The sequence below is a fragment of the Homo sapiens genome, chromosome 10 (assembly GCF_000001405.40).
Source record: "Homo sapiens chromosome 10, GRCh38.p14 Primary Assembly".
In the NCBI taxonomy this organism is placed as follows: Eukaryota; Metazoa; Chordata; class Mammalia; order Primates; family Hominidae; genus Homo; species Homo sapiens.
The window spans coordinates 123,492,927-123,520,200 of NC_000010.11; the positions used below are offsets into that span (position 1 = coordinate 123,492,927).

The 27,274-nt window shown below is 47.8% G+C and overlaps 1 long non-coding RNA gene across 9 annotated transcripts in view, besides 5 other annotated features; it reads left to right on the forward strand.

Annotated features, from left to right (window-relative positions):
• The window catches only part of LINC02641 (long intergenic non-protein coding RNA 2641), a 214,291-nt gene that overhangs the window by 145,004 nt on the left and 42,013 nt on the right, over positions 1 to 27,274 (forward strand). The window lies entirely within an intron of this gene.
• Positions 1,436 to 1,675: an enhancer, noted in NCBI's record as "active region_4160". NCBI's record gives its function as "activates an Ori minimal core promoter by ATAC-STARR-seq in GM12878 lymphoblastoid cells {active_cell/tissue: GM12878}" and the evidence as "EXISTENCE:reporter gene assay evidence [ECO:0000049][PMID:35858748]".
• Positions 3,807 to 4,534: an enhancer, noted in NCBI's record as "H3K4me1 hESC enhancer chr10:125256249-125256976 (GRCh37/hg19 assembly coordinates)". NCBI's record gives its function as "activates a minimal SCP1, AML or CMV promoter by ChIP-STARR-seq in primed H9 embryonic stem cells {active_cell/tissue: H9 hESC(primed)}" and the evidence as "EXISTENCE:reporter gene assay evidence [ECO:0000049][PMID:30033119]".
• Positions 4,535 to 5,261: an enhancer, noted in NCBI's record as "H3K4me1 hESC enhancer chr10:125256977-125257703 (GRCh37/hg19 assembly coordinates)". NCBI's record gives its function as "activates a minimal SCP1, AML or CMV promoter by ChIP-STARR-seq in primed H9 embryonic stem cells {active_cell/tissue: H9 hESC(primed)}" and the evidence as "EXISTENCE:reporter gene assay evidence [ECO:0000049][PMID:30033119]".
• Positions 20,417 to 20,965: an enhancer, noted in NCBI's record as "NANOG-H3K27ac-H3K4me1 hESC enhancer chr10:125272859-125273407 (GRCh37/hg19 assembly coordinates)". NCBI's record gives its function as "activates a minimal SCP1, AML or CMV promoter by ChIP-STARR-seq in primed H9 embryonic stem cells {active_cell/tissue: H9 hESC(primed)}" and the evidence as "EXISTENCE:reporter gene assay evidence [ECO:0000049][PMID:30033119]".
• Positions 20,966 to 21,513: an enhancer, noted in NCBI's record as "H3K27ac-H3K4me1 hESC enhancer chr10:125273408-125273955 (GRCh37/hg19 assembly coordinates)". NCBI's record gives its function as "activates a minimal SCP1, AML or CMV promoter by ChIP-STARR-seq in primed H9 embryonic stem cells {active_cell/tissue: H9 hESC(primed)}" and the evidence as "EXISTENCE:reporter gene assay evidence [ECO:0000049][PMID:30033119]".

A 27,274-nucleotide genomic window follows, 5' to 3' on the forward strand; every position in this document is an offset into this window, starting at 1 on the left:
TTCAAAGCATTGTTATGAACTGGCCTGTGCCCAGTTTGATTCTGACCAGGCAAGACTCTTCCATGGGGAGAGGAGATAGTGACAGAGATAAAGCCTTCTTTGGATCTTGGCAAAGGCCAGGGCTTAAGACACTCGAGGTCCAAGGCTGGACTGGGCATGGTGGCTCACACCTGGAATCCCAGCACTTTGGGAGGCCAAGGCAGAAGGATTGCTTAAGCTTAAGCATTTGAGACCAGCCTGGGCAACACAGTGAGACCTAATATCTTAAAAAAAAAAAAATTAAAAATAGCTGAGTGTGGTGGTGCACACCTGTGGTCCCCGCTATTCAGGAGGCTGAGGCAGGAGGGTCACTTGAGCCCAGGAGTTCGAGGTTGCAGTGAGCTATGATTGTACCAATGCATTCCAGCCTGGAGACCCTGTCTCAAAAAAAAAAAAAAAAAAAAAAAAGGTCCAAGGCTACATCAACTGTCAGGGGTGGGGTGAAATGCTTAGGGCTTGCATGAGTCATAGAATTGGGAGAGAAAGGACTAGAGCACGTTAGAGGTCCACTTTGGGAAGTCACTGGGAAGGCCTGACCCCCTATTGTCTCTTTTGCTCATGCACCGGTGCCTTTGCAGTGTTGACAGCAGGCGCAGCTGACGCCCATGTATTGGTTGTGCCTGAAATCCCACCATTGTGGGAGATTCGATGGCAGAGAGGAGGAGAGCATGGGGCCGTAGGTCTTACCTGTGTGGCATCTCCAACCAGGTAGCAACCTATGAAGTCAGGCCCCAGGCTTAGCTTAACTTTGTGATTATTGGAGAGACAAAGAGTTGTATTTTTTTTTTTTTTCCTGAGAAGGAGTCTTGCTCTGTCACCCAGGCTGGAGTGCAGTGGCACGATCTCTGCTCACTGCAAGCTCGGCCTCCTGGGTTCACTCAATTCTCCTGCCTCAGCCTCCTGAGTAGCTGGGACTACAGGTGTCCGCCACCACACCTGGCTAATTTTGTGTATGTTTAGTAGAGATGGGGTTTCACTGTGTTAGCCAGGATGGTCTCGATCTCCTGACCTCCATCTCGGCCTCCCAAAGTGCTGGGATTACAGGCATGAGCCACCGCACCTGGCTGAAAAGTTGTATTTTTATAGGATTTCCCAGAAGACCGAGGAAACCTCCTGTAATGCAGCACACTGCAGCCTCTCTTGATATTTGAGTTAAGCCCAGAGGGAAGGAGAGGGAAGAGGGTCCAGTCTAGGGCAAGAGGAGATCCCTTGGGAGTCTCTTAGCTCCTCTTGGGGAGCTATGTCACAGGCTCATTCGGCAAAAGCACTCACTGTGTGCCAGGCTCCATGCTGGGCTCGGGGAGCCTGAGGCCAATCGGACCTGCTCTGGCTTTAGAAGGGCTCCTGAACAATTAGTAGTATTGATAGCCTTGGAGCATTTTTGGCAAACTTGCTGAACCTCTCCTTGACCATGAACCACCCTCGCAACCAGAGGAGAACAGAGGAGCCTCGGTTGGGTGGGGGTGAATGACCTACTGCTCTGAGTCACTCAGCACAAAGATGGATCCACTGGCCACCCAACCCAGAGCCTGAGGGCAGCCACCTGTGCAGACAGCGTGGGTCCCCAGCTCCATCATTAGCAATCTGGGCTAAACCCTTCTCATCATCTGAGCCCAGTTTCCACCCAGGGGCCATGACTCAGAGCCATCTCGGGACACCAGCCCTGACACCTGAGTCAGTCTGACTCTGTGGCTGTGGGACTGCCCCTGTAGCCATCCCCAAACCCTTAGGAAGTCTGGAGGGTGATTGGGCTGTTCTGACACTTGGGACCAGCTCTCCAGCCTGCCACCTAAGTCCCAGGCATGGCTGGAGGCCCAAGGCTCCTGCACGTGCTTCTTCTCTTTGGTATCACAAGAGCAGTACGAGGATTCACTTCCCAGTGACCTCTCCACTTTCAGATTCAAAAGGGCACCCTCTGAAAACTCCTCCAACCCAGGAAGAAGATGATGGCTGCCAAGGTGGATGCAGGAGGGGTCGTTCAGACAAGGTCCTAAGTTATCCTTGTCTCTCTCCTGCCCATGGATGGTCCTTGGCCTCTGCTAGGAGGCACATCCCAGTGCCTTTAAGGGCAGAGGGTGAGGGCTCTGTGGCCCCTCCTACTTCCAGAATCTCTGGGCTCACACATCTTCCTGGGTTGGGTCAGGGGCCAGAATGCATGTGCTGTGGAGACAGCGACCTGGCCTGTTTTGCTTTCCACTTCCCCTGGTGCCTGGCACAAAACTGAGGCTGTCTGATGGCCAACACTGCATCTTCCTTGCCAGGATTAGGGGTGAAGAAGGTGGTGCTGGTTGGAGTGGTCCTCTCCTCCTTGCCCACACAAATAGTGAGGAGGCAGCCTTCTCTCCTGGCCTAATCCTGGCTGGTCATTCACAACGCACAGGTGTATTCACCTTGTCCTGGAGGCTCTGCGAAGCTGCCATCATCTTCATTGGGCTTTTCTTCTTGGCTCTGGCTATTGGAGGTCCCCAGCCTTTTTTCTAGGCACAGGGACAGAGTTCCCATCTGAGGACTCACCAACTTCCTCTGTGGGCAACTGATATGAAAGGAATTCAGGGTCTGTGGGCAGAGTTTCCATTAAGTGTTGTTTTCATTCTCACCAAACCCATCTCGGCATCTTTGTAGCACTCAAGAAAAATGGAAACCACTAATTTCCCTGGCAGCAGATAAGACCAATGAGTTATAGAATTTGGTCATTCCCGCAAGAAAGGTTTGGAAGAATTGCTTGGGAGGCTCAGGGAGGGAGAGGAGCCATCTGACTGGAGGCATCTGGAAGAATTTCATGGATATACTTGAGAAGACCCTTGTGGGACAGGTGGGGTCCGCAGGTGCAGTGAAAGGCAGGCCACCTCTGTGGAGGCTACAGCCTGGGAACAAGCTGTGTTCAGGGAGCAGCCTGTTGTTCCATTTGGGACCACAGCCAGGGTGTAGAGAGATGTTGGAGTGACCATTCTGGCCTTGCAGTCCTTGTGCAGTGACAGGCAGGAAGCAAAGAATGAACTCTGTGGGAAATTATGGAATAAAAAGGGGTCTGCATGCAAATTGTGGGCAGCATCAATGCCAGGGTCAGAAGGAGTTAAAAGCCGGCCTCTCCTAATTTTCCTGCTCGTAGGAAGCCATCTGAGATCTCTGAGGCTGATGGGCATTCTGCTTTAGGAAAATTAATCAAAAGTGAGTACTCTATGTCTTCTGGTCAACTTGAATTCTTTGTGGAGACAACTTAGTTGAGATGACTCCTCCTGGAATTCTTGGTTCTTGGGCCTCAGCACTGTTTCCTCTTCCACAATTATTCTCTTGACATCTTGGAATTTAGAATGTATTAAGACATGCCGCTCATTCCCAGTCCTCCTCCCCCCACCACTCTGTGCAGATCTGGGGCTAACGGGACTGTGGACCTCCTTTAAGGAAAGGTGCAGACCAAGGATCAGCCCCCACATTTTTTTTTTTTCTATAAAGGGCAGATAGTAAATAATTGAAGCTCTGTGGGCCATACAGTTTCCGCCTTTACTACTCAACTCTGCCACTGCAGTGGGAAAGCAGCCATAAACAATACATGAATGAATGAGCGTGGCTGGCTTCCAGCATAACTTTATTTATAAAAACAGCTGGTGAGCTGGATTTGGCCCGCCTCTCATAGCCTGACGACTGTTAGTGTAGACAGTCAAACGGCTTGGGTCCCAACTGTCTTTTCAAGCCACCTTGCCTCTTGGCTCCTACACAGGCCTGTCTTGCTGCTGAGATTCAGAGAGGGGGCTAATGCTGGCTTCGCCTGTCCCCAGAGGGGTGTCAAACCTGATGATGCCACCTTGACAACCATATTGACTTGGTCCAAGCACACAGACTGTTTGAGGAGTGTAATAGAATGCAGAAATATGCCCAGAAACGTTGACTTTAAGGGCACATGTAAGTGGGCCTGGAGTTTCCATAACAGGGCCAGCACCTCCTGGTCCAACTTCTCATCATTTCACAAAAGGCCATTTGTCAGAAATTCCTTCAGTGTCCACTGTTGACATTGCTGTCACTCTCTACTGGCGAGTCCCTATCACTGATGTGACGGACAGTTTAAAACATGCTTAGAACGGCTGTCAGCCATCCTTTTGAGAAAAGCCCACCAGGACCCGATTAAAAACAGAGCTTGTAGCTGAAGCCGTTCTTGCCTTGATGACACATAGTAAGTGGCAGGTAATCCTCCTCCTAATCTCCTCACTGCCCCACAAGGCTTATGGTAACTGATATCCCTGTGAATGCCACGGAGTCTGATTGAGTTACCTGGAGAGGCCAGGGCTTCTTCCTGCCCCTTTCCTAATGGAATGTATTTAGATAAAGGCACCTTGAAGTTGGCCACAGTCTCCTGAGATGTTGCTCTAAAGGGAAAATTTGATTTCCCCTAAGCTGCAGCCGATATTACTTTTTTATTTTCCCTGAAGCATTTCACCCAACATGCCTCGCCTGGCCATTGCACACCTGTCTACAATTACAGCCAGGGGGTGGGGCAGGGAGGACCCCTGGGGCTTAACTGCTTCCTATTGTGGCTGCAGCCTTTGATTCCAGGGTCAAAGCAACCCTTGCTGCTGGGGGATTTTACTTTCAAAATTCTGACTTTTCCCACCACGATTAAGAACTGCTTTGTAGCCTGTACTGCTGCTGACACGAAGGTTTAATGGACCCGTTGGGATTGGAAGACCAAGTGGTTTGATTCAGTCATTTGTGAGTTTGTCCCTGCTCCTGGAGCCTCTCACTGGAGACATGGAAGGCAGCCCTGTGGAGCAGAAAGAGCCCTGGACTGCTCCTTGGAACCTGGCCTCTCCTCTCTGTGTCACTGACTTACTCTGGGGGTGACCTTGACCTGGTCCCTTCCCTCGGCCCATTTGCGAAACAGGGAAGCCTAGTTAAAAGATCACTCAGGTTTAGGGGTGCCAGACCTAGCAAATAAAAACACAGGATGCCAAGTCCAATCTGAATTTCCAATGAACAATGAATAATTGAATATTATTCAGATGAACAATGAATACTTTTTCTAGCATAAATTATGCTCCTTGCAACATCAGAGACACACTTTAAATATTATTATTTATCCAAAATTCAAATTTAACTGAGCATACTATATTTCACTCTCCTCATGTTGCTTTTACCTCAAGTAGTTTCTGAATCCATACTTTGAGATACATATTTTTGGTTTTGCTATCCAGTGGCTTTTGGTAGCCACAAGCAAGGGATAAGTGTGAAATGTCTAGATAATTCTGAAAATGTATCTTCCCTGACTTGTACTCAAGCCCAAACCCATGTCTTTGGAAACATTGCTTGGTGACCGTGTCTTCAGTGCATGGTACCTGGTAGATGCTCCATGAGTACTGGCTGAATGAATGAATGGATGGCACATTTCAACCTTTGTATGACCTTCGTGTAATACATGCTTCCATTTAACAGAGCTACCAGGTCTTCCTGACACATGCCCCATCCTTTCCAGAGCACTCTGCCTTCGTTCAAGATAGTTCCTGCCCTACGAGCCAACTTTCGTCAGACAGGGGCAGCATTGCACAGTGGGTAGAATCATGAGCACTGGAGCCAAATGGCTTGAGGTTGATTCCTGCTTCTACCATTGTGTCCTTTTGGAGAATTTCTTTTAACTCTCTGTGCTTCTGTTTTCTCATCTATGAAAAGGGGTAAACAATAAAACCTACTAAGGCAGTTGTGAGATGAGATAATGCATAGATGTCATTATTATTTAGAATTATAAAGGTTCTTATGAGATTCCATCTGCAAATCCTAATCCCAACCATTATACAAGGGCCACCTCCTCCATGAAGCCTCAATGGTGATCCTCTGCCCTACTCCACAGGTAAAAACAATCTCTCCCCTTAGTGCTTTGGATACAAATGAACTGTGGCTATTTCTCTGCTGTCCTACAGATTGCACGTTATTTGTGGGAAGGATCACCTGGGTGTTTACTCATTGTCTGGTGCATAGAGGAGGCCCAAGGCATCTGTGTTGATTGAGTGAAGTAATAAATCAATTAAAACACACATTTGCTATAGGAAAGAATTCCCAGACAAGTTAGAGTATGGCATCATGATCCTAGGAGGTGTTTTTATCTGATGCTCTCACCAACTAGCTGAGAGATTTGTGCAAGGAAAGAGGGAGACCCCCAATAGAATCAGACTGCAGATGGTACCTCTGGGGTCTGTCATGAAGGGACACAGCTTGGTAGGGGTGAAAGTAGGGGATCGAGTCCAATAGATGCAGGTGAAAACCCAGTTCTATTCTTTTACAGCTGAAGACCTCCAGAACCTTCCTTTTAGGAATAGATGGGGGAGGGCTTGGGTGTGGAAGAGAGATGAACAACTACAAGGGCTTAGCACAAAGGGTGCTGATATGGTTTGGCTGTGTCCCCACCCAAATCTCATCTTGAAATGTAACTCTCACAATTCCCACGTGCTGTGGGAAGAACCTGGTGGAAAGTGATTGAATAATGGGGGTGGGTCTTTCCTGCGCTGTTCTCATGATAGTGAATGAGTCTCACAAGATCTGATGGTTTTAAAAATGGGAGATTCCCTGCACAAGCTCTCTTTGCCTGCTGCCATCTGTGTAATACGCGACCTGCTCCTCCTTGACTTCTGCCATGATTATGAGGCCTCCCTAGCCATGTGGAACTGTTAAGTCCATTAAACATCTTTTTCTTCTCAATCTCGGGTATGTCTTTATCAGCAGTGTGAAAACAGACTAATCCAGGTGCTCTACAAATGTTTAAGTGTCTAGCATCAGCAAGGCCTCTGTGACGCTGGGCCTGGGGGAGCTCCACAAAAGGCTCCTGTTCATGTCTGACCACAGAATAGAAGGTGGGCCTGCAGCTGAGAGTCCTGATTCCATTAGGCAAGGACGTCATTATCCCTAAGGTTAAGGAAAACATGAAGTCCTGGCCCATGTCCTGCAAGATGATGATGGAGAAGAGGGAACATCTCAAAGTCACTGCCTCCCTTGCCCACACGGGCACAGACTCAGAGGCCTGGGAGCAGTGAATCCAGCAAACTCTCCCTCCCTGCTGTGCTTTTCCCATGGCTCTGAGCCTGATATATGGTGTTCACATTCCCTACCCCACCAGCTTCTCACCCCAAGGATAAAGGTCATTCTGAGCTTCAGCGGTTTGAGCTAGTAAAGATTTTTATAAAAACTCACTGTCTTGATTTGTGTTCAAGTACTTTAAAGTTCACATATTTCTTATTTGAACTTTGCTGGCTGCAGTCATTTCATCCGCAATCAGCCTGGATTGGTTCTGCTTATTCAGAGCCCATCAATTACCCAGAACTGGACTGGAGCACACGCTGCCCATTCATTGGCTTCGCCCCAGGCTAGCCGATTTATCTGACATTTAATAAGGAGTTTTAGATTTTGCAGCTTATCAGGAGAGCACTGCGCGAGTGCGGGTGAGCTGGTGAATCCCAAATAAGTGGGCTGCTCAGGGATCTCTCTCCTCTTCAACCCACTCTTTGTCATGCAACACTGCTCTGAGTGTTAGGATCTCCTTCCTCCTTCCTCTGCTTCTGTTGTGCCTTTTTTCTTTTCCTAAAATTGTTTTATGGTTGGTGTTTTAAGATCCCTTTCATGTTGAGAGCCCAACCTTGGGGAGAATCCCAAATCAAGCTCTGACATAGAGAAACTGTGGAATTGCAAATCAAGATGGGGAAGCTCTATATAATGATGAAAGTTCAAGTTAACCAATAATGACCATGGAGGTGAGGAAGACAAGATCTCTGCCCTAAAGGACAGGGCACTGTGGGGTGGGAGAGCAGACATGGCATAAATCATTCAGTCCCAGACCGGCTGAGCTGAATGCTCTAATAGAGGCATAAACAGAGCATAATGGGAATGTTCGGGGCCGGGGAGAGATTGATAATCTTGGTTTGCACCTTTTAGTTCTGGCTTAGACAATGAATGCATATTCACACATTTGACCAAGTAAGGAACTCTGATGTTTTATTAAGCTGCTTTACAGTTTCCTTCGAATAATAAGACAAATGTATTAAATCTGTTTCTCCCTTACAATGGTAAATTCCATTTTCCTGGGCACATTTTGTACGTTTATCCTGCCTAACTTGGGTTCTCATCCTTAAATGCTCCTTATGACAAAAGCTTCACTAAACATAAGAACACAAGTTGGAATGTGAAATCTGTGCTCTGATCATTCAGAGCATTTTTGTGTGAAGAAGTTAATTCTTTGCTACTTTCAACACTATTTCTAGGATTTTCTTCCCTGGGATTTTCACTAACATTTCAGGTCTTTTTACTCACAAGTTCAACGTGTGCTCTCACATCAGCATATGAAAATCTTTTTCACTACCCTCAACAGTGGTGGTTTTTTTTTTTTAAATTTAGACACTGAATTCTAGGTTCTTTCACATGTTGCTATTATTGTCTTTCTCTTGTGTAGCTTCTGCAAAATTGGCCCCACAGATTGTCTCCTTCTGTCTCCTAGGGAGGTGGTTAAAGATGCAGGGTCTCAGCAACCACCCCTGAGATTCTGATTAGTAGGGCCGAGATGGGGCCATGGTTCCTATGCACAGAAAAGTCGGGGGACAAGCTCTACACATTATGCCTCAACAGCCCCATCCAGCCCCAAAGTTAGTGCTGGCTCCTGCAGAGGCCTCCCCAGTGAGTGTCAGATCTGTGGCTGCAGCAGCTGCTGCAAAGCCCCTTGGATGGCCCACAAACACCCCAAACCCACCATGCCCCAAGGCAAACTCATCACCTCCTCCCCAAGTCTTGTCTACCCCATGTGCGCCATCTGTGTGGGCATCACCTATGACACAAACTTCCCTCTCTCTTTTCTCTGGCATCCAATCAGCTACTAAATCCTGAGATTCCATCTCAAAAAACATCTCCACGCCTTCTGTTCACCTCCGTGTCCATTACCACTCCCCTGGAGTAGGCTGTCAGCATCTCTCACTTCAGCTGGTCAAAGTTCCCCACCCCATTTCTTGCTTGGCTTACTTAATTCACTATACTAAAGCCAGAGGGATTTTCTTGTTTTCTAAATGGCCAATCCAGTCTTCCTATTTGTCAGCCCAAGTGGCTCCCATTGTGCTTCAGATGGAGAGCTTCTCTCCATCACGGCTCAGAGGGCCCTCAACCTATCCGTCTCCTGCAATTCCCTATTCCGCCTCTCACTGTGCTTCATCTCCCCTTCCTGACCCGACACCCTGGGTTTCTTCCAGGACCTCACACTGCTGTGCACTCACACCTCCAGGCCTTGCATCTGCCATCTCCTTGGCCTGGCCTGAGGTGCCCCTGCTTTACCTGCAAAGGAAACATGTCCTTCTTGTCTGAGAAGTCATGTCCCACCTTCCTGGGTCAGCTCCCTGGCTCCAGTCCTGGAGGAGCCTGTTTTGCCCTTAATATAGCACCTGCCCTCCATTATCAAAATTGCCTGTTGGCCTGGCCGTTATCACCAGACCACACCCTACAAAAGCAGGACCCATTGACCTGGTTCTCAGTGATGCCAACGACCCTGTCATAGTGGTTGAATCATATAAACTTGCTGATTTTTTACCAACCATTTTTTTGCCTATAAAAATGACTGTTTTGAATGGCTCAACCTAATACCTGTCATTCATAAATTTCAGTCAAATGAGAATGTAAACATAGTATCTCTTTGTTTTAATGAGAATGTCTTTGATTGTCAGTGAAGCCTAACTCTCTTAAATGGTGTAGACTTTTGAATGCAAATGTCAACTCGTTGTATGAGGCTCACAAAATGGGTGTAAAGATTCAAAATGGATTCTTTTAAGATCGATGTTCAAATCACATCTCTTATTCCGTTGGATCAGGGTTTCACACCTGAGCAGCATCGAAGGGGCCACTGAAGTGGAGCAGAGGAATCGTTTGAGGAGAATCTCAAAGAGGACTCACCTGCTTTTGTAGAATTTATGCCACGAGATTAAATGCTCAGATGATAATATTTCACAAGTTACATGTTTGCTTATGGAATATTTTTCTCCTAGTGAAAATATGATTTGTAGATAATTACTTTAGAAACACACTCACTTTTTATTTTCAAGATTAAACATTCCCAATGGCCACGTTGGTCTATGGGAGATTTATTTGACTTCTGAAGATAAATAATAAATTGCCTAGTTTCAGTTGCCTTTCTTGCCCTATTCCATTTGCTGAGAATGTGTAGATCAATGGAAACATTTTTTTCCCCTCAGATCTTAGTTAGCAAGAGGCTGCCATCTATAGATCCTTGACCCAATTGCACACTGGTTTCAGAGACTAAAGCAGCAGGGGCATTATAGGCCTTTAAGAGTTTTATATCTTTTAACTCTGAGGATTAGGGTTTTAGGTTTTTGACAGGCTTTTATTTCTAATTTAATTTGCTTTATTTTGCAAAGAAGCTCAAAATGCTTATTGTAAGAAAGACATAAGGGTTGTCTAGCTTCCCTTTGTGCAGATGAAGAAACGGAGGCCTGCAGATGTCGGAGACTTGCTCTCTGGTATCATCCAGGACATTGGGGCAGAGCTAGGACCTGCAGCCAAGCTGAATGTTTATTTCCCAGGTATCCCCGCCTTCCTGATTCAGGGAAACAAGGCTTTCTTGGCAGAGGGGTGCCAGCACCACAGATGGAGTACAGCCCAAGTTGATGCCATAGCAGCTGCGTTTCCCCACCAACGCTACAGAGTCACTGCTATAAAGAAGAAAAATTCTGGCTGGGCACAGTGACTCATGCCTGTAATCCCAGCACTTTGGGAGGCCAAGGCGGGCCTGAGGCCTGAGGGGAAAAAACAAAAATTTTTTTGAGGTGGAGTCTCGCTCTGTTGCCAGGCTGGAGTGCAGTGGCGTGATCTGGGCTCACTGCAACCTCCGCCTCCAGGGTTCAAGCAATTCTCCTGCCTCAGCCTCCCAAGTAGCTGAGACTTACAGGCACCTGCCACCATGCCCAGCTCATTTTTTTTATTTTTAGTAGAGACGGGGTTTCACCATGTTGGCCAGGATGGTCTCAAACTCCAGACTTTTCCTTTTCTTAAAAAACAAAAAAAACAAAAAAAACAAAAAAAACGGAGTCTTGTTCTGTTGCCCAGCCTGGAGTGCAGTGGTGCAATCTCAGCTCACTGCAACCTCTGCCTCTTGGGTTCAAGCAATTCTCTCTGCCTCAGCCTTCTGAGTAGCTGGGATTATAGGAGCCCGCCACCATGCTTGGCTGATTTTTGTATTTTTAGTAGAGACAGGGTTTCACCATGTTGGCCAGGCTGCTCTCGAACTCCTGACCTCAGGTGATCCACCTGCCTTGGACTCTCAAAGTGCTGGGATTATAGGCATGAGTGACTGTGCCCGGCCAGAATTTTCCCTCTTTATAGCAGTGACTCTCCTTAGTTCTTTAGGGAAAAATAATAATGATAATGATGATAATGAAAATAACAGTAATAATTGCGTAAGCAAGGTTGTGGGGGGAACAGAGTTTATAATCAGTATTGTGTTCATGAAACGCTTCTGCATGTAGCAACAATATTATGAAAACAGCAGTGAAGGTATCTGCTTCTAATTAAGACAAAGTGGGAGGACCACACAACTTTAAAAGTGTGTGTTATACAGAAACAAAGGGGTTTGACTGTTCCCAGCTGCCCTCAAGTTTAAATCCACCATGATCCTGCCAAAGCTGAAATGCCTGCTCCCTGCTCACTCCCAGATGCCAGACTCATCAACAAAGGCCCACTTGTTCCTTGGGATTTGTGTCTTGATGCATTCTCAAAGAGAGGTTTCCAGGGCACCAGTCACCTGCAGCTCACCTGAAGATGGCACATGGCATGTCGCTGTGCCCCCCTCCCCATCCATGTGCTCTACCTGGCAACTTGTTTCTCCCCACCTGAAAGTTGACCTGAGATGAAACTTGCTAAGGTAAAAATGATACTGAACACATCAGTTCAAGGGTGTCCCCCAACATGGTGGGGGACCTCTGGCCCTGACCGCTTATGGACAGTTCCTTGTGGCTACTCCTGCACTCTGACCCCTAGAAGGGCCAGAGTCCCAGGGTGGTGGACTACAATAAACACAGGAAAACAGTCAGCATAGAAATCCCTGTTGTGGTGCAGGTAGGCATAGCCCATGGGATCTTGCTCTCTCCCCAGTCTAAGAAAGTTGTACGTTTCAGGTCCTTTGTGGCGACAAAGCTGTACTTGGCATCTGTGTGTCTACTTTGTCCACAGATCCTGGCTGCTCTCCATTACCTGACCCATCCTACATCTCTGGCCCTTTCTCCTGCCCCTGCCTGTCTGGCACCAGGCTCTCCCAGCACGGTGAGCTGAAGTGCCTGTTTCTGGATGCTCCCCCAACTCAGTTCTTCCTTTGTACCTATTGCTCCCTCTGCCCCAATAGCCTCACCTTGCCCCTGTATGCTCACCATATCCTGCTCCTCCTGTAGAACCTAGGACCACCATCATTCCTCCAGGAGCCTTCCGTGGCGTCCCACTCCTACATGGGATTGGTTGCCTTTCTTTAAGCTACCAGACTCCTATAGGCTGTGCCTCCATTTTGGTTCTTACTGTCCTGGACTTGAATTCCGTGATGGTGCTGCCATCTCTTGCATAGCATTGTGATCTCTTACAGGATAAGGACTGTGCAGATTCACCTTTCTGTTTCCAAGGTGGCCCTGGGAGCCTGCTGTGTCTTAGGTGTTTCTGAGGATTTAATGATGGAGAGAATGCATGGAACAGCATGAACACACCCCAGTGGGCCTTTCTCAGCAGAGACCGTGCCAGGGCAGGATTCTTTGTGTCTCAGAATTTCACTTCTGATAGCTTAAAGCAGAGGTTGGAAAACTCTTTCTGTAAGAGTCAGAAAGCAAATATTTTAGTTTTTGTGGGCCAGTCTCTGTCATAACTACTTAACTCTGCCATGTAGTGTAAAAGCAGTCATAGCCAATACATATACATGTGAGCATGATTATTCCAAGAAAACTTTTTACAAACACAGGCAGAAAGCTGGATTTGGCCCAGCGCAGGGATAGTCTGCCAATCTCTGGCTGAGGGTTTGAAATGGAACCATCTTCTATGACTGCAGGTAGATTTTCCCTTGTCGGTTGGCTTTTGTCTCTATGGCTGCTAGGGGGATCCAGGGCAGGGCAGACGAGTGTCTTACACTTGGCTTACTCTCTCCTTTTTCTTTGAGCAATCATAAGAAGGGCCTCTGGAGGTTGCGGTGAGCCGAGATCGCACCATTGCACTTCAGCCTGGGCAACAAGAGCGAACCTCAGTCTCAAAAAAAAAAAAAAAAAGAAGGGCCTCAGAATCTTCTTCTGACCCTCCAGGTAGCTTTCTCAGTACTTTTTGTGTCTTGTCGCCCAGATAACTAGCCCCAGGTCATTCTAAGAATGATCCATATCCACTAGAGCTGGGAGAGATAAGCCAAGTGTCTTCTCTGGCTCTCTCGGGTCTTCTCCATATACCGCTGGTTGGGCTTTCTCTCCTCCTCCAATCTCAATCCTGATTTCCTTCCTGCATCTTCCCATGCAGAACAATGACAACCCAGATAGTCTTCCTCCCGCCAGCTAAGGCTGCATCACAAACCATTGACAAACATCAAATGACAACAGCACTAACTTTTCTCTTGAATCTGTAATCTGCTCTACTTGGCAAAAGCTGGCAAGGCTCAAAGACTGGGGGCTGGAATCCTCTGAAGACTCACTCACTCACTGTCTGGCACCCAGGCCAGGAAGGCTCCAAAGGCAGGCAGGGGGGCAGCTAGGATCCCCTGGATGTCTCTCTCGCTTTTTTTTGAAATGGAGTCTCACTCTGTGGCAGTGGTGCAATCTCCAGGCTCACTACTAACTCCACCTCCTGAGTTCAAGTGATTCTCCTGCCTCAGCCTCCTGAGTAGCTGGGATTACAGTCATACACTACAACACCCAGCTATTTTTTGTGTTTTTAGTAGAGTTGGGGTTTTGCCATGTTGGCCAGGCTGGTCTTGAACTCCTGACTTAAAGTGATCCACTTGCCTCAGCCTTCCAAAGTGCTGGGATTACAGGCGTGAGCCACCATGCCCAGCCCTCCCCTGGATTTCCATCTCTGCTAACCTTCTCCACACCGTCTCTTCAGAATGGTGGCTTCTGGGTTACCGATTTCCTAATGTCAACTCGGGGATCCCAAGGTGCATGTCCCAGAAGAGCCAAAAAGCCTTGTTACCTTTTATGGCTACTGTGGCTTGAATGTGTCCCCAAATTTCATGTATTAGAAATTTAATTCCCAAATTCAAATGTTGATTGGAGGTGAGGACTCTGAGAATTAATTAGGATTAGGTGTGGTCATCAAGGTGGGGCCCCCATGATGGATGTTGAGAGGCTAAATTACAACACACCTAGTTTTGTAGCTCTCAGTTGGCTTTTGTGATTCTAGAATTGGGCAGTAGTTCTGATCAAAAATAGTTCATAATGCTTTGCCCCACCACATATTCAGATTGTATTTATAGCCCAGAGTAAAGGAAGTGATATACAGAAAATGGAAGTGAGGTACAGAGACAACCAATTGGTTACAGCACCCATCTGTCTTATGTAAACATGGTTTGAACTGTTGGCTGCATGTTGTTGGCTGAGACTCAGCTATTTGTTCTTAAGTCAGGTTTTTTGTTTGTTTACATACTGAATTAGGTTGCAGTTAGAAACTCATACAGAGGCCTCTTTGTGCCAATTTTAGTTTGATTTAGCACGGGACTCATGGCTTTATAGAAGGAGGAAGACAGACCTGAGCTGATGTGCATACTCTTGATCTCTTACTATGTAATGCCTTCCACCATGACACAGCAAGAAGGTCCTCACAGGATGCCTGCCCTTTGATCGTGGACTTCCCAGCCTCCAGAACCATGAGAAATAAACACATTTTCTTGATAAATTTACTAATTTTCTGGCATTCTGTTATAGCAACAGAAAATGGACTAAGACACCAATCTAGCCTCAGAAGTCACATAGGATTCTTCTGGCACATTCTATTCATTGAAGTAGTCACAGAGTCCTGCCCAGGTTCAAGGGAGTCAAAATGGACTCCATGTCACAATGGGAAGTGGTGATCATCTGGAAGAGCATGTGGGCCCATTTTCTGGGATATCTTCTCTGTCACATTCCCCTTCCTGGGTCTCTGCCATATGTCTGGCACAGATGAAGAAATTCAGGTTTAGAGAGGATAAGCAGTTTATTTACCTAACTCCTCAAAAGTTACCGAGCCCAGGTCTGTCTGGCTTACAAAGTCCTCCCTGCCTCATCCTGGGACGTTTCTTTAACTGCATGTAAACCATGCTTTGGGTGCCTCCATTATCCTCATGTCTTTAGGGAGTTCCCTGTTCTTTGATGAGAGAAACACAGATACATTCTGGTAGAGTCTAGAAGACATGAAACTTGGGGTCCGGGCTTCCTTCTCCAGCTGGGCTCAGCTGTTGCTTAAGGTGGGAGGCAGCAACAGTGATGCTGGATGTGACACATTTATTAACTCACCATGACAGTGATGAGCTGGTAATTAAGGCTGGTGTTCCACACAGTCTCAAACTCCCTTGTGATTCCTGGTGCAGGGTTTTATTCTCAGAAAGTCATTGTCCACAAGGAAATCTGAGAAGCCAGCAGAACAAGATTCAATGGAGGAGCAACTTCAGCATTTGCTCTGCTCTTTTCTCCAAAGCAAACTGATTAAATCACTACCCCAAATTCTATTGTCATAAAGAGACTCAGGCTGGAGTAGGATTCTTCAATATGGGGTGGGCCAGGGAGTCATAGGTCACCAGAGTTCATCTCAGTTTATATATAAGCTTTCTGATAGAGGCCAGGTTTTCATTTTAATCTTATTTTTAGTACATTTAACATCTCCTAAGAGGTTTATTCTTCTTTACTTCTTAAATTATAATGTCTTTACTGTCCAGAAGGCTTTAAGGCTACTAAAGTTCAGGGGGATTATTATTTTTTAAAATAAGAATGGTTTTATAGGCTTTCAGAGATACCAGGGCTTTTGAAGACATCATATTGAGCTCCCCCATTTTACCAAAGAGAAAACTGAAGCTCAGAGAAGGGAAGTGACTTTCCCAAGGTCACACAGCACTGCTGTGTGGTTGCTACTTAGACCAGGGTTTTGCCTGTTATGCCTCTCTTGCTATCATTTGGCCTCTGTCTAGGGACTCATGCTCTCAACTTCTGAGTTAGGTGTGTGCTTTTTCTGTTTTTTGTTTTTAGTTTTGTTTGTTTGTTTGTTTGTTTTTGGCCCAGCTGCAAGTTAGTCAGCTGCGGCTCTGAACATATTCCAGATGATTCCAGCACTTTCTGGACCACCAAGGACCATGGTAGCAATTCATCACACTGGCCTGTGACTTCCCTTTATCGCTCTGTCAGATCGCACTGTCTTTTGTGCTGCCACTGGGTGATGAGTCTGGTGTGTGGCTGAAGAAGTGGTCTGACCCAAGAGCATGGGGACCACAGTTTAGGTCCTCCTGACTCTGCCATGGCCCCACCTCAGTACCTGGGCCCAGGACTTGCGAGCGCTGGTGTTTGACTGACTGTCTGGTTGAAGAAGGCCTCCTCCTAGGCTGCCTCATTCCCTTCTCCTTTCCTCCTGGGCAGCCATCATGCTGTGGCCACCACACTCTCCTCCCCACCTGCTAAGTATGGCAGCCAGCCTGTACCTCCTCACCAGCCCTAACAGGGGTCTTGGACTTCCTGAATTCCAGCAGGAAATGTAAAATGTGATTCACCTGGCACTGGTTCTTGATAGCACAATCTTTCTCCCAGTTTGTCTGATTTGATGATGATGAAGAAGAAGGAGGAGGAAAAGGAGAAGGAAAAGAAAACACAGGCCCCATGTTCTACCCCTTACATATAAGAACTTTTAATTCCAGGACTTCAGCATCTCTGGAAAATTCCTGGCACCCTTCCCTTGACTTATTGACCTTTCTTATTTCCCACCCGGCTGGTGTTTCTCAAAGCCTGATCCTCATATGTCTTTTTCTTCTGTATCTGAATGGTCTGGGATATGTTTTAAAATGTAGGTTCCTGAGCCCCATCTATGACCTAACACATCAGACTTTGTGAGGATGGAGCCCAGAAACCTGCAGTCTAAGCTTCTCAGGTGATTCTTAAGCACCTAGAGCTTGAGACTGTGGGCTTGGGGAAAGCTTTGTCACATGTCCCTGAGGTCTGCTCTACTCATCTTCTTCCCCTCTACTGAGACCTGTCATTGTTCTTTGTCCCAGTTAAAAGTCTGTGTTAGTGAGAATGATGCAAGGGATGTTAGGGACCCTCAGATAGTCTTTGCTCTCTTCACTTCCAACCAGTTTTTCACTCAGACGGTTTTTTCCCTATCTCCTGACTCAGGCAACCTCATCATTTTCCTCTGAAAGTAAAAATTGTCTGTGGCCAACAACTCAACCTCAGAAGAAAGCCTGAGGTTGCTTTAGTTCCACTGGTTTATTCTTTCTTTCCCGCCTTCCTCTCCTCCTTCCAATCTTGGGCATCATTCTGCCCCCTGAGATGTTTTACTTGCTCCCCAAGACCCCCATGCAGCAGCCTTTGTCACTGCTTCAAACTTTTTCTCTTTTTTGCTCTTCTCTTTCTCAATTCCTCTCTGACTTTTTGGGGTCCAGGAATGGTCAATTACTTGGGCTGATATGGTTGGCTTTTCAAAGACCCACATAGGGGTTGCAGCACAGACCTTTTGGCCAAGCAGCCACCAGACCACCTCTCTCCCTTCTGGCTCCCAGCTTTGCAGCAAAAGGAGGCTCGTTCCCATTCAGCAGGCATGGTTTCTATCGGCAAAGATCGCTTAATCTCCTTCCTTGCTGCCATTGCTTAGAGCAGGCCCAGTTCTTTATGTCCTATGTTGAGTTTAATGTCAGAGTGCCATACATTTCTCACTGCATTAACTTTACAACACCATCCCCTCCGCGCCCGAGCCAAGTGGGCAGGCCTTGTCTCTGTTTTATGGAAACCCAGTCACTGTATAGGAAAACCTGGCTGTTTAAAAGCTAGTTGAACATTGTATAAATTATCCATATCTCTTGCTACTGAAGGCCTCCTAAGACGATGTTGCTGGATGTCCCCTGCTGACCCCACAGACTGGCTCCTCTGGTGTCCGCTGACTTGGCCTGGTGAGAAGGGCAGGGCCAGGCCCTTCCCTGTCTCGACCTGCATTCCCACCCAACACAGCAAGCTATTTTGAAAAAACTTCTCTATCAGTTCTTGTGAGTTATTTGTCTAATAAACAACATTGTGAAAATGAAGCATTCATGTATTTGTATATTGACAAGAGATAACCAATTCCCTCAACAATTTTACAATTTCAAATTAGGATAACATCCTTTTTTGGAGCTCTTCAAACATCTTAGGGAACACACGCACATATTTAAGTACCCTAAACAATTATTAAACTTAAGTTAATCGAAGTATTAACACGATAGTTTAATTCATTGGTCGCTTGGAAGCTTGTTCTCATGCCTGACTTGGGTTCTAGGAGAATGAGAATGCACACCGATGCAGGCTGGGGTTGTCCACTGCCCGCTGCTTGTTGGGGCAGGACATGGGTACCGTCTAAGCTGATTCGAACTCTAGCCCCTGCCCACCAGGCTGAGCTCTTTTTTTTTTTTCTTTCTTTTCTTTCCTTCAGGTTGGTTTTTCACCTGTGGCTTAAACGGATAGGGAGATTTCTTTGGCCCGAGCACCTTCTGTCCTCAAAGTGGGTTGCTCATGTCAGTGGCATGAGCTCCAAAGGCACCACCTTCCCCCATGGCTGTCCCTAAGGGGGACTCTCTGCTCTGCTCTAAGGGGGAGTACTGGTGAGTGGACGCCAACAGGCCAGACCCAAGCGTGGGAACATGGCAGCCCCATGCTGAGACAGAAGCTCAGAGGTATGAGGGCGGTTGAGGACAAGGAGCTGGCCAGTACCAGAACTGGCCCTGAAACAGAGCTGAGGGCTGGGCTGAGGGGGCGAGGCCTGGCCACAGAGGCAGGTGCAGCCCCTCCAGGGTCCTTGAGACCCTTCATCCTGGCATCTGGCAAAAGCGAGTGATTATTTTTCCTGCTTATTGAGGAAAATTGCTATTTCCCTCCAGTGAGAAAGAGCAATGGGCCCGGAGGGGAGTACGGGCTTGGGGGAACTGTGCAGGGGAGGGGCTGGGCTGGGGAGCAGGAGGGAAGCAAGGCACAGAGGGATGAGGAGAGCCAAGAAGACTGGCGTTTGTGAGGCAATTAGAGCAGAGACCAGGACAAGTGCAAGGCTACGGTCACGGTGCACCAAAGAAGCCTTGAAACCATAGGCCTCGTGGCTCAGTGAGGTGCATGCAGATGGGGCCAGAATAGAAATGGGCCTGCAGGGCCTAAGAGTGAGCGTTCTCCTCCCCCAGGCCTCCGAAAGCACCCTCCAGTCTGTGGCAGCCTCCCCACCCGGAGGCCCTGTCCTCTGTCCAAACCATTCTCTTCCCAGTGCCCACCCAGCGCCTGGCTGACCACGGTGAACAACGAGATTCTCTGTTTCTTCTAGTCCGCTAACCTCCTGAAATGCTGCCTCTTCCAGGAATCCTGCTGGTTGCGCTAGAACATTGCTCGCTGTGGCTCTCCATGGTGGCTCTGACCCGGGTGCAAGTTCTGCAGAGATCAATGAGGCTGCCTTGGGGTCACTGCCCCATTCAGCTAAGTGATGGACTTTCTACATCGTGCTGCCTGCGCGTTTCCCGGGCCCACGTGTCTTGGCTCACCTGGGCTGGTGGGCATCCACAGGGGCAGGCAAGCCAGTGACTGGCAGAGTCAACTTTGCCCAGTGACTGGTGCTGGCCCAGATGCTGGGAGTTGAGAGCACAGTGCAATGCATTTGGGGCTCACCAGATGCTCTTCGGGAGCCCTAAGGGAAGCAGACTTCCCCTGGGAAAGATCTCAACTCAGAAACCCTCTCAAGGCCTGGCTCCCCACCCTAGGAAGGGAGGAAAACGATCGTTCCACCCAGAGATCAAATCGTCAAGGGGGTCATCGAAGGGATTTCACTGTGCATTGGGAATCCTTGGCACGGGAACTTCTCTGCTTCACAAAAAATCCTTGAGTGAGAGTCTCCTACATTTTATGTCCTCAAATCTAAACCTCAACTGGCAGATTCCGGCCAGGCTGGGGGTTAACTCAGGACTCAGAGAAACCGCTCCACCAGAGGCTCTGATGAAGGGATCAGTCAGGAATTCATAAAGTATTTATTTAACTGCCAAAAGCACCCCCACCCTCCCTTTCTTGTATGTTAGAATTGATGCAAAGTTTCCGAGACAAGCCTGCGATTGCGGCTGTCACCAAACAATGCCATATTTCTTTTCTTCTCTTAAATTCTAGGGATCATTCCCTGTAAGAGGGCAATTTGTCTGTCAGGCAGGCAAAACAGGGGCCGCTCCCTGCCCTCATTAAACTGACAACACGGTTATTAGCAGAAAACGAAGCCAGCCCGCCATGAAGCTAGCCACTGTTTTATGGCGAGCGCCAGGGAGATATTTTCAGTAATTAATTTGATAAATATATTAATTATGAATTGAGTTGACAGTACAATCAGATTGTCAGCCTTCCAGACAGCCTCTTGTGATAAGTAGCTCTGTGATGAAGTGGTTGGATTTCAAGCCTGTCATCCTGCAGGGCAGTCCCTTATCACCCGTCTGCCCATTCACTCTGTAATTTCCTGCGCATTGTAATTAAATGGTAGCTTTCTGATTGGAAGTGACTCCTCAAACTTAATCTCCCTTTCTCTCTGAGCTTGGTGGGGGAGGGGTACAAAAAGCCCTTTGTTTCAGGGCATTTTTTATGTTAAGAAGCAGTTTTGCTCCCCTACTCCTTTAAATGAACCTGTCTGGTCCTGAAGGTCACAAAGGAGGAAGAAGCCTTATTTGGTGGCTTCGGAGTCTTGCGGGGGCCAAGCTACAGTGAGGGGTGGGTGACCTGGCTGGGGGCAGCCCCATGGCTTTTTCTGCTGCCCTCGGTCTCTGCCACCTTGGGAAGGTCACCGCTCCTCTCTGGGCCTGTTTCTTTGGCCAGAAAAAGAAAGAGCTGCCAAAATTATCACGCGGGTTCCCCCCAGGCCTGAAATTCCGGGCTCCTGTGGACATAGCAGCGCTGCAGCCTCCCTGGTCCTGGAGTCCTGGGGAAGGGGAGGGAAGGAGAAGCGAGCCAAGTGTCAGCTGTATTTCTCCAGGACAGGGAGTCGTTCAGGGAGTCCCTTGCCGGCACTTTTTTTTTTTCCTTTTGATGAAATTAATTATGAACACTGCCTGGGGTCATTGGACTCCGGAGATACATGTCAAGATAAAATATTTCAGAAACACTTATATTTAATAATTTAATACGGTGGTTCACATTTGGGTGCAACAAAGGGAATTATCGATAATTGCAAATTTTAAAGAGGCAGGTCAAAGCCCAGCAAAGTATAGGGGATCATGGGACAAAAATCAGGAAGGATGGCAGAGGATTTTGTTCAGTAAGACCCAAGGGCCTGAGGTTAGGATGAGGAGCGGGGTCATTCATGTGCTTTGTAAAGAAGTCAACTTCTGAAACCTTCTTAAGGGGCAACGCTTGGTACCTCAGCTGGAAGAAGAAAGAGAGCAAGTTGGTCTGGAGTGTTAGGAAGTCTGTGATTTGAGACTCAGAGAGGCCCAGGGCTGCACCAGGCCATACAAGAAAGATGCAAGACCCCAGACAAGCTTGACCTCCCAGCCAGCCAGTGTCCCCGGGTCTTGGGGCTTTGTGGAAAGAATAATAGCTTTGCATCAGGTAGTCCCAAGTTCCAAATTCAGCTGCCACTGGCCTGATATGGCTCTGTCTCTTTGTCTGCAAAATGGGCTATTAAACTACCTGCCTCAGATTTGAAGTGAAGGTTACATGAAACAATGCACGGAAGGTACCTTCTAGAGCACTCAAATGCCATGGAAGCCAGGTATTTAGCTATTGCTTTGCAAATAATAAAATCTCCTTGAAGGTAGGCGATGCAATTACCTTTGTTTTATCGAAGAAGGGCTGAGGCACGGAGAAGTTAAGCAACTTACCCAAATTTACCCAGCTAGTTTGTGGCAAAACTGGGATTTGAACCCAAACCGCCTGGCTCCAGGGTCTGGGCTGCCCCTATGGGAGAAAGTGAAACTGCAGTGTGCTAGAATGGACCAGGAAACAATCCGTGGCCCATTTCACCTGGTGGGGGAAGACATCCAAAATCCGCCCATGGCCCCCGAGGCTGCTCTGGAGAGGAGATGCTGTCACGTCCTTTGCTCTGTCTGCAGTGACAGGTGACACCCGTGCTGCCCACTCAGAGGGCTTGCTCCTCTGGCTTTGGACTCTTGTGGATATGGAAAGGGCAGTGGCCTGGAGGTCAGGAGGCCACATTCTAGGTGACTGTGGGCAGGTTGAGCTACCTCTCTGGGCTCAGTTTCTCCTCAAGACGCTTTACGATCTGACTGGCTTAGTTCTCACCACTTCCCACGTGCCCCCCTCTATCCCCCTTGTGCCTTCCTCCTAACACATTCTGCTGGAAAACTGCGGCACTTACCAAATATCCATGCACCCACTGCCTGCATTTCCCAGCATCTCCTGCAGTTAGATTGGGTCATATGACTAGCTCTGGCCAATGGGCGATGGGAGAAAGTGACCCATGACACTTCCAGGCCATGGCAGTTGAGAGCTGTGTCCCCAGCCCCTGCCACAGAAGCCTCAAAGGCCATGACATGTTTCAGGCGGACGAGAACCACCAGATCAGACCAAGACGGAAGACCTTGCTGGGCAGAGCCACTGAGATTTGGGGATTTCTCTGTAACCGCTCCTTGCTTGAGCTTCCTTGACTGGGTCTCAACAGAACTTTTGCTCATTCTCTGGGTAGCTGAGTCCATCCCTGCCTCTGGGCCTTTGTACAGGCCATTTCCTGAATGCTTTTCCCTTCCTGCTGTTGGCAAACTCCTTCCCCCTTCAGCCCCAGCTCCCTTCTGTGCTGTGTGGCTTCTCTGGCCGACCACGGCCAAGTTCCTCGTGCTCTTCCCAGGATTACTGCAGAGAAACATTCCTGCCCCTGGTTCATGCATAACTTCACTGGCGCTCTCTGTTATGTGCCTGTCTCCCCCAGTAATTTGGGATGTCCACAAGGGCAAGGCCCATGTCCTCTCCTTCTTCATAGCCTTAGGGCTTTACCCAGTGCTGGGTATATATCAAGTGCTCAGTTAATATTTATTGCATGAATGAATGAGTGAACAACTGGAGTTGGGGTCCTTGGTGGCTTTGCTCTCTGAGCCTTGCCTGCCTCCCTTGTTCCCTTGTTAGGATATTCCACATTCGTGGCTGAGCCTGTGGAGCCTGGTGTCATGAACTAGCTCCCAACAGGGTCACAGACAAATGGAATTTAGCCCTGCTCTTCAGCCAACTTAGCTTGTGGCTTTGGGAAAATCACTCGTTCAGGGTCTCTTGCTTCCTCATCTCTAAGGTACACCAAAACATCTTGCCCAGGGAGCTGCTTGGATGGGTGCTCATGCAGGATGAGGGTTCTCTGATGGTCAGGGCTGCAAGTGGGAGTAGGTTCAGTCTGTTTCTCTCCAGCAAGGTGAGCTGGGTGGTCCCATCTCTGCTCTGATTTTTTGTTCCCTCATCTTTAGAGTGAAGGTGCTGCACTCAGCCACTGGCAGCATTACTGGCAAAAGCCACTGTGGCCACAGTCTACAGCTGGGCCACATTCAAACTCAGCTTCCTTAGGAAACCCAAGCACCTTACTGAAACACTCACAGCTCTTGTCAATCACCTGGAAATCATGGGTCCCACCATGAGCAGAGGATAAAAGCCATAGCATCGAGGATCAGTGCTCAGATGCATGAGCCGGGAAGCCCCTCGTTAGGGCTCCCCCTGCTAGGTTCTAGTACATTAAAGAGTCCACCAGCACACTAAAAAAAAAAAACCTGAAAGTTATACAAGCTTTGTTTGCTGTCACTGGAGGCAAAGCCAACACATACATGGACATATCAATAATCAGGATAAAGTTTTGATGTGAAGTAAGAAAATTATCACTCGTGATAGAAATTGTTTCTATTCATGTTTCTTTCTTGAACAAATGCACGCTTGTTTTTTTTCCCCAAAGTTCCAGATTGCTGCCCTTTTCTTAACTTTTCAAAGAAAACTTAAGTACTTTGAGCACAACCAGTGTTGAATATTTTCCTTTGTCAGATACTACTTGAATCTATATTTTAACATGTTCCCATTATATTTCAAAGAGTAGGCATGATTGCTCTTGAAAAAAACGTAAGACCAAAGACAGGGTCTTGTCTATTATCCCATCCTCCACCCCAGAAATGTTCTCATCAGAGCTAGCTGGGTGTCATTGATTAAATCCTGAATGATGAATCGTAAGCTCCTTTATTTTATACCAGAAGCGACTGGTAAGTGGACGTAAATTGATTTTGGAGAGGATGCTAAGTGATAATCCTTCCCAGGTTTCCAGTAAAGAAAATATACCTATTTGAGGGAATTTTCAACTTGGGTTTGAACCTGCTGATGCCTTTCTGGAGTCCAAGTGGAAACTATGGCGCTTTTGTGTGCCTGTCAGACGTCTTGCTTAATGCCGAGGGAGGAATGATAAATATGCAGAATGCTTTGATGTTAATACCAAACAGGCCTCCAAAGGAGTGGAGTTGAAGGCAGTTGACACTGTGGTTTTCATCCCTCGGCAGGGATCGAACGGATGCTTGAAAATAAATGGCACCTGTGGAGAAAGTGCCCCATCCCTGATTATGTCATCGGAGCCTCTGGTCCCCACACCGGCTGGAGGGCCCTGGGCTCAGCACTCTGCCTGACAGGAAGATGTGAATGCGGGCAGGGGATAAAAGACAGTGACTCACTTTGTTTTATTTTGTTTGCCAGGAAGCCTTTCTGATGAGCCCAAGCAGCCATCACTAAAAGATCCGTGTGAAATGGAGGCTAATCTTCTGCAGGCAGGGATATGAAAGGAGAGGGTCTTCTAGAAATGCAGAGACGCCTCCTCTTGACTGAGTTCCTTTCCCCATGGGACCTCAGTTTCCCCATCTGTGAAATGAGGGGGTTTTGTAGGTGATCTCTAAGATGCTGTTATTTGCCATTAGCTAAGAAGATGAAGTGCCGTATGGTCCCTTATGGTGGGGATAGGCAGCTTGTGTGGGGTCAGGACTGTCCCTTACGGTGGGGATGAGCAGGTTTCGTGGGGGAAGGACTGTCCCTATGGTGGGGGTGAGCAGCTTGCATGGGGTCAGGACTGGCTTCTTTGGAGGCATCTGTCTCAGCCCCCCTCAAGGTTAACCTCATTTCCTGGTGGGATTGGTGAGTGGAAAAGCCAGAGGGTGAGGAACCAGGGCCTTCTAGGATGCCAAAGACCCTGTGCAGAGGTTGTCTGCTCTGTGGGGGCTCTAGGCCTCTCTCCTTTATCCAGGGAAGCTCTTCAGCACTGGGGGAGGAGAAGGGTTTGGGGAATGGGAGGCCAGCCCAGCATTCAGGAGCCCAGATCCTTGGTACTTACCAAACCTCTTTGTGCACCTGCCCCAAGTGCTCAACGTGACACCCAGGGCCATGCCTCTACTTGTCCTGCCTCCTGGTCTGGGCTGTGTTATGACTTAGGGGCCCTAGACATTTTTGTCTTCAGAAACCCTTTCTCCATAAAAAAATTAGCATTTTGTTTTACAACTGCATTGGTCTAAAGATGAATATAACCCAGGCTTGATGTGTTATTATGCATTCATTATTCTTATATTTCTTTCTTTCTTTGAATTTTAAGATAAATAAAAATGAAAACACTTTCATGGACCCTTAAAGGTTGTCCTGAGCCCTGTGCCTGATGAATACGTGGACTCTGCTCACCAAACTCCCTATGAAGTCCGACCCCTTTAGAAGCTGCAAACCTACCCTTCAGATTTGCATTCCCAATGACTAACCCCTGCCCAGTAAGAGGAGCAGAAGGGGATGGGAACTGTTTGCTGAGTTGTGTATATGAACTCAGCTGGGAGGGAAGCTTGGGCCATCCTGGCATCAGAGGACAGCCCAGCCCAGGCAGGCAGGCAGCCTGGTGCAATGGGACAGTGTGTGGCTTGGGGTCAGGAACACTTGGACTCTCACCTCTACCACCCCCTTCCTATCTGAAGGACCTGGGCCTCAGTTTTTTAATCTGTAAAATGGGACTAATGCCACTTTGACCACAGGTTTCCCAAGGTACATGGCACTGGATTAGTGGGAGCTCTTGTTGGAATGTCACATGTATCATGACCACAGGATTCATATTTTCCAGGAATCCTCAACATCCATTTGTTCCTATGGTCTCATAAGTGCATTCACACTTGGCGGACCACGAGGCCCAGTTCTTGCTTCAGGAATAACAAACCAGTAACTGCCCAGCTGGGTTTCATAGCAAAGATGCAGCAGGGCTATTTTTGCTTTTCTTTCTCCAACAAGAGATTTTCCAGGCAAATCAACTGGAAATGATTGTGTGAGGGAATTGAAGCTCTGGGGGCCCTTGCAGAATTCTTTCTGTTAGTTCACTGGCAACAAACTTTTTGTAAGTTGGCCAATCTTCGCCCTAAAGACACTATGCGCAACTCAGCCTTGAATCAAACTAACGGGGAGTTCTGAAGGCTCCTGTAGTTTCATGTTGAAACAATGTCTTAAATTAATATTTTCTTTAGTTCAAAAGGCTGCCTTGCCTTTGGCTGAGTGTTCCTGCTGCGGGGAACCAGGGAGTGACCCTGGCCAGAAGTCCCCACGACGTGGGGACAAAAGCCCCATGCACACATCAATAACGAAAAAATATCTCACCCGGAGGCATTAGTCACCAAAAATGTTTTACACCAGTTGAGCACAAAAATCAATTCTGAAGTGCAGTATATCATAGTCCATAAATTACATGTGTTTGATCAAAACAGTGACAGAAAAGAGCAGAGGTGAAGACGAAGAAACTTTCCACTGAAAGAGGGGACTGCAGACCCAACCAGGCCCTTCACATTGGGGGTGGACACCAGCAGCCTAGGGGGCCCCCAGCACATTCCACCAGGGAACACATTCCTGCCTGCACCCCTGGCCCAGAATTAACGTGAGAACAAATGGAATGGGAAGACCAAGGCGGGATGGGGCTCAGGCTTCACCCGCATGGCTTTATGCTACACAGAGAGCTCCTGCACGCAGGGCGGTCCCCAGAACCTGCTCGGCCAGTGGGCCTTGTGCTCCTACCTGGACTCAAGGTTTAATGGCAAGGAAAGGCAGCTGAGTCTCCACTACTCCTCTCCCCCAAG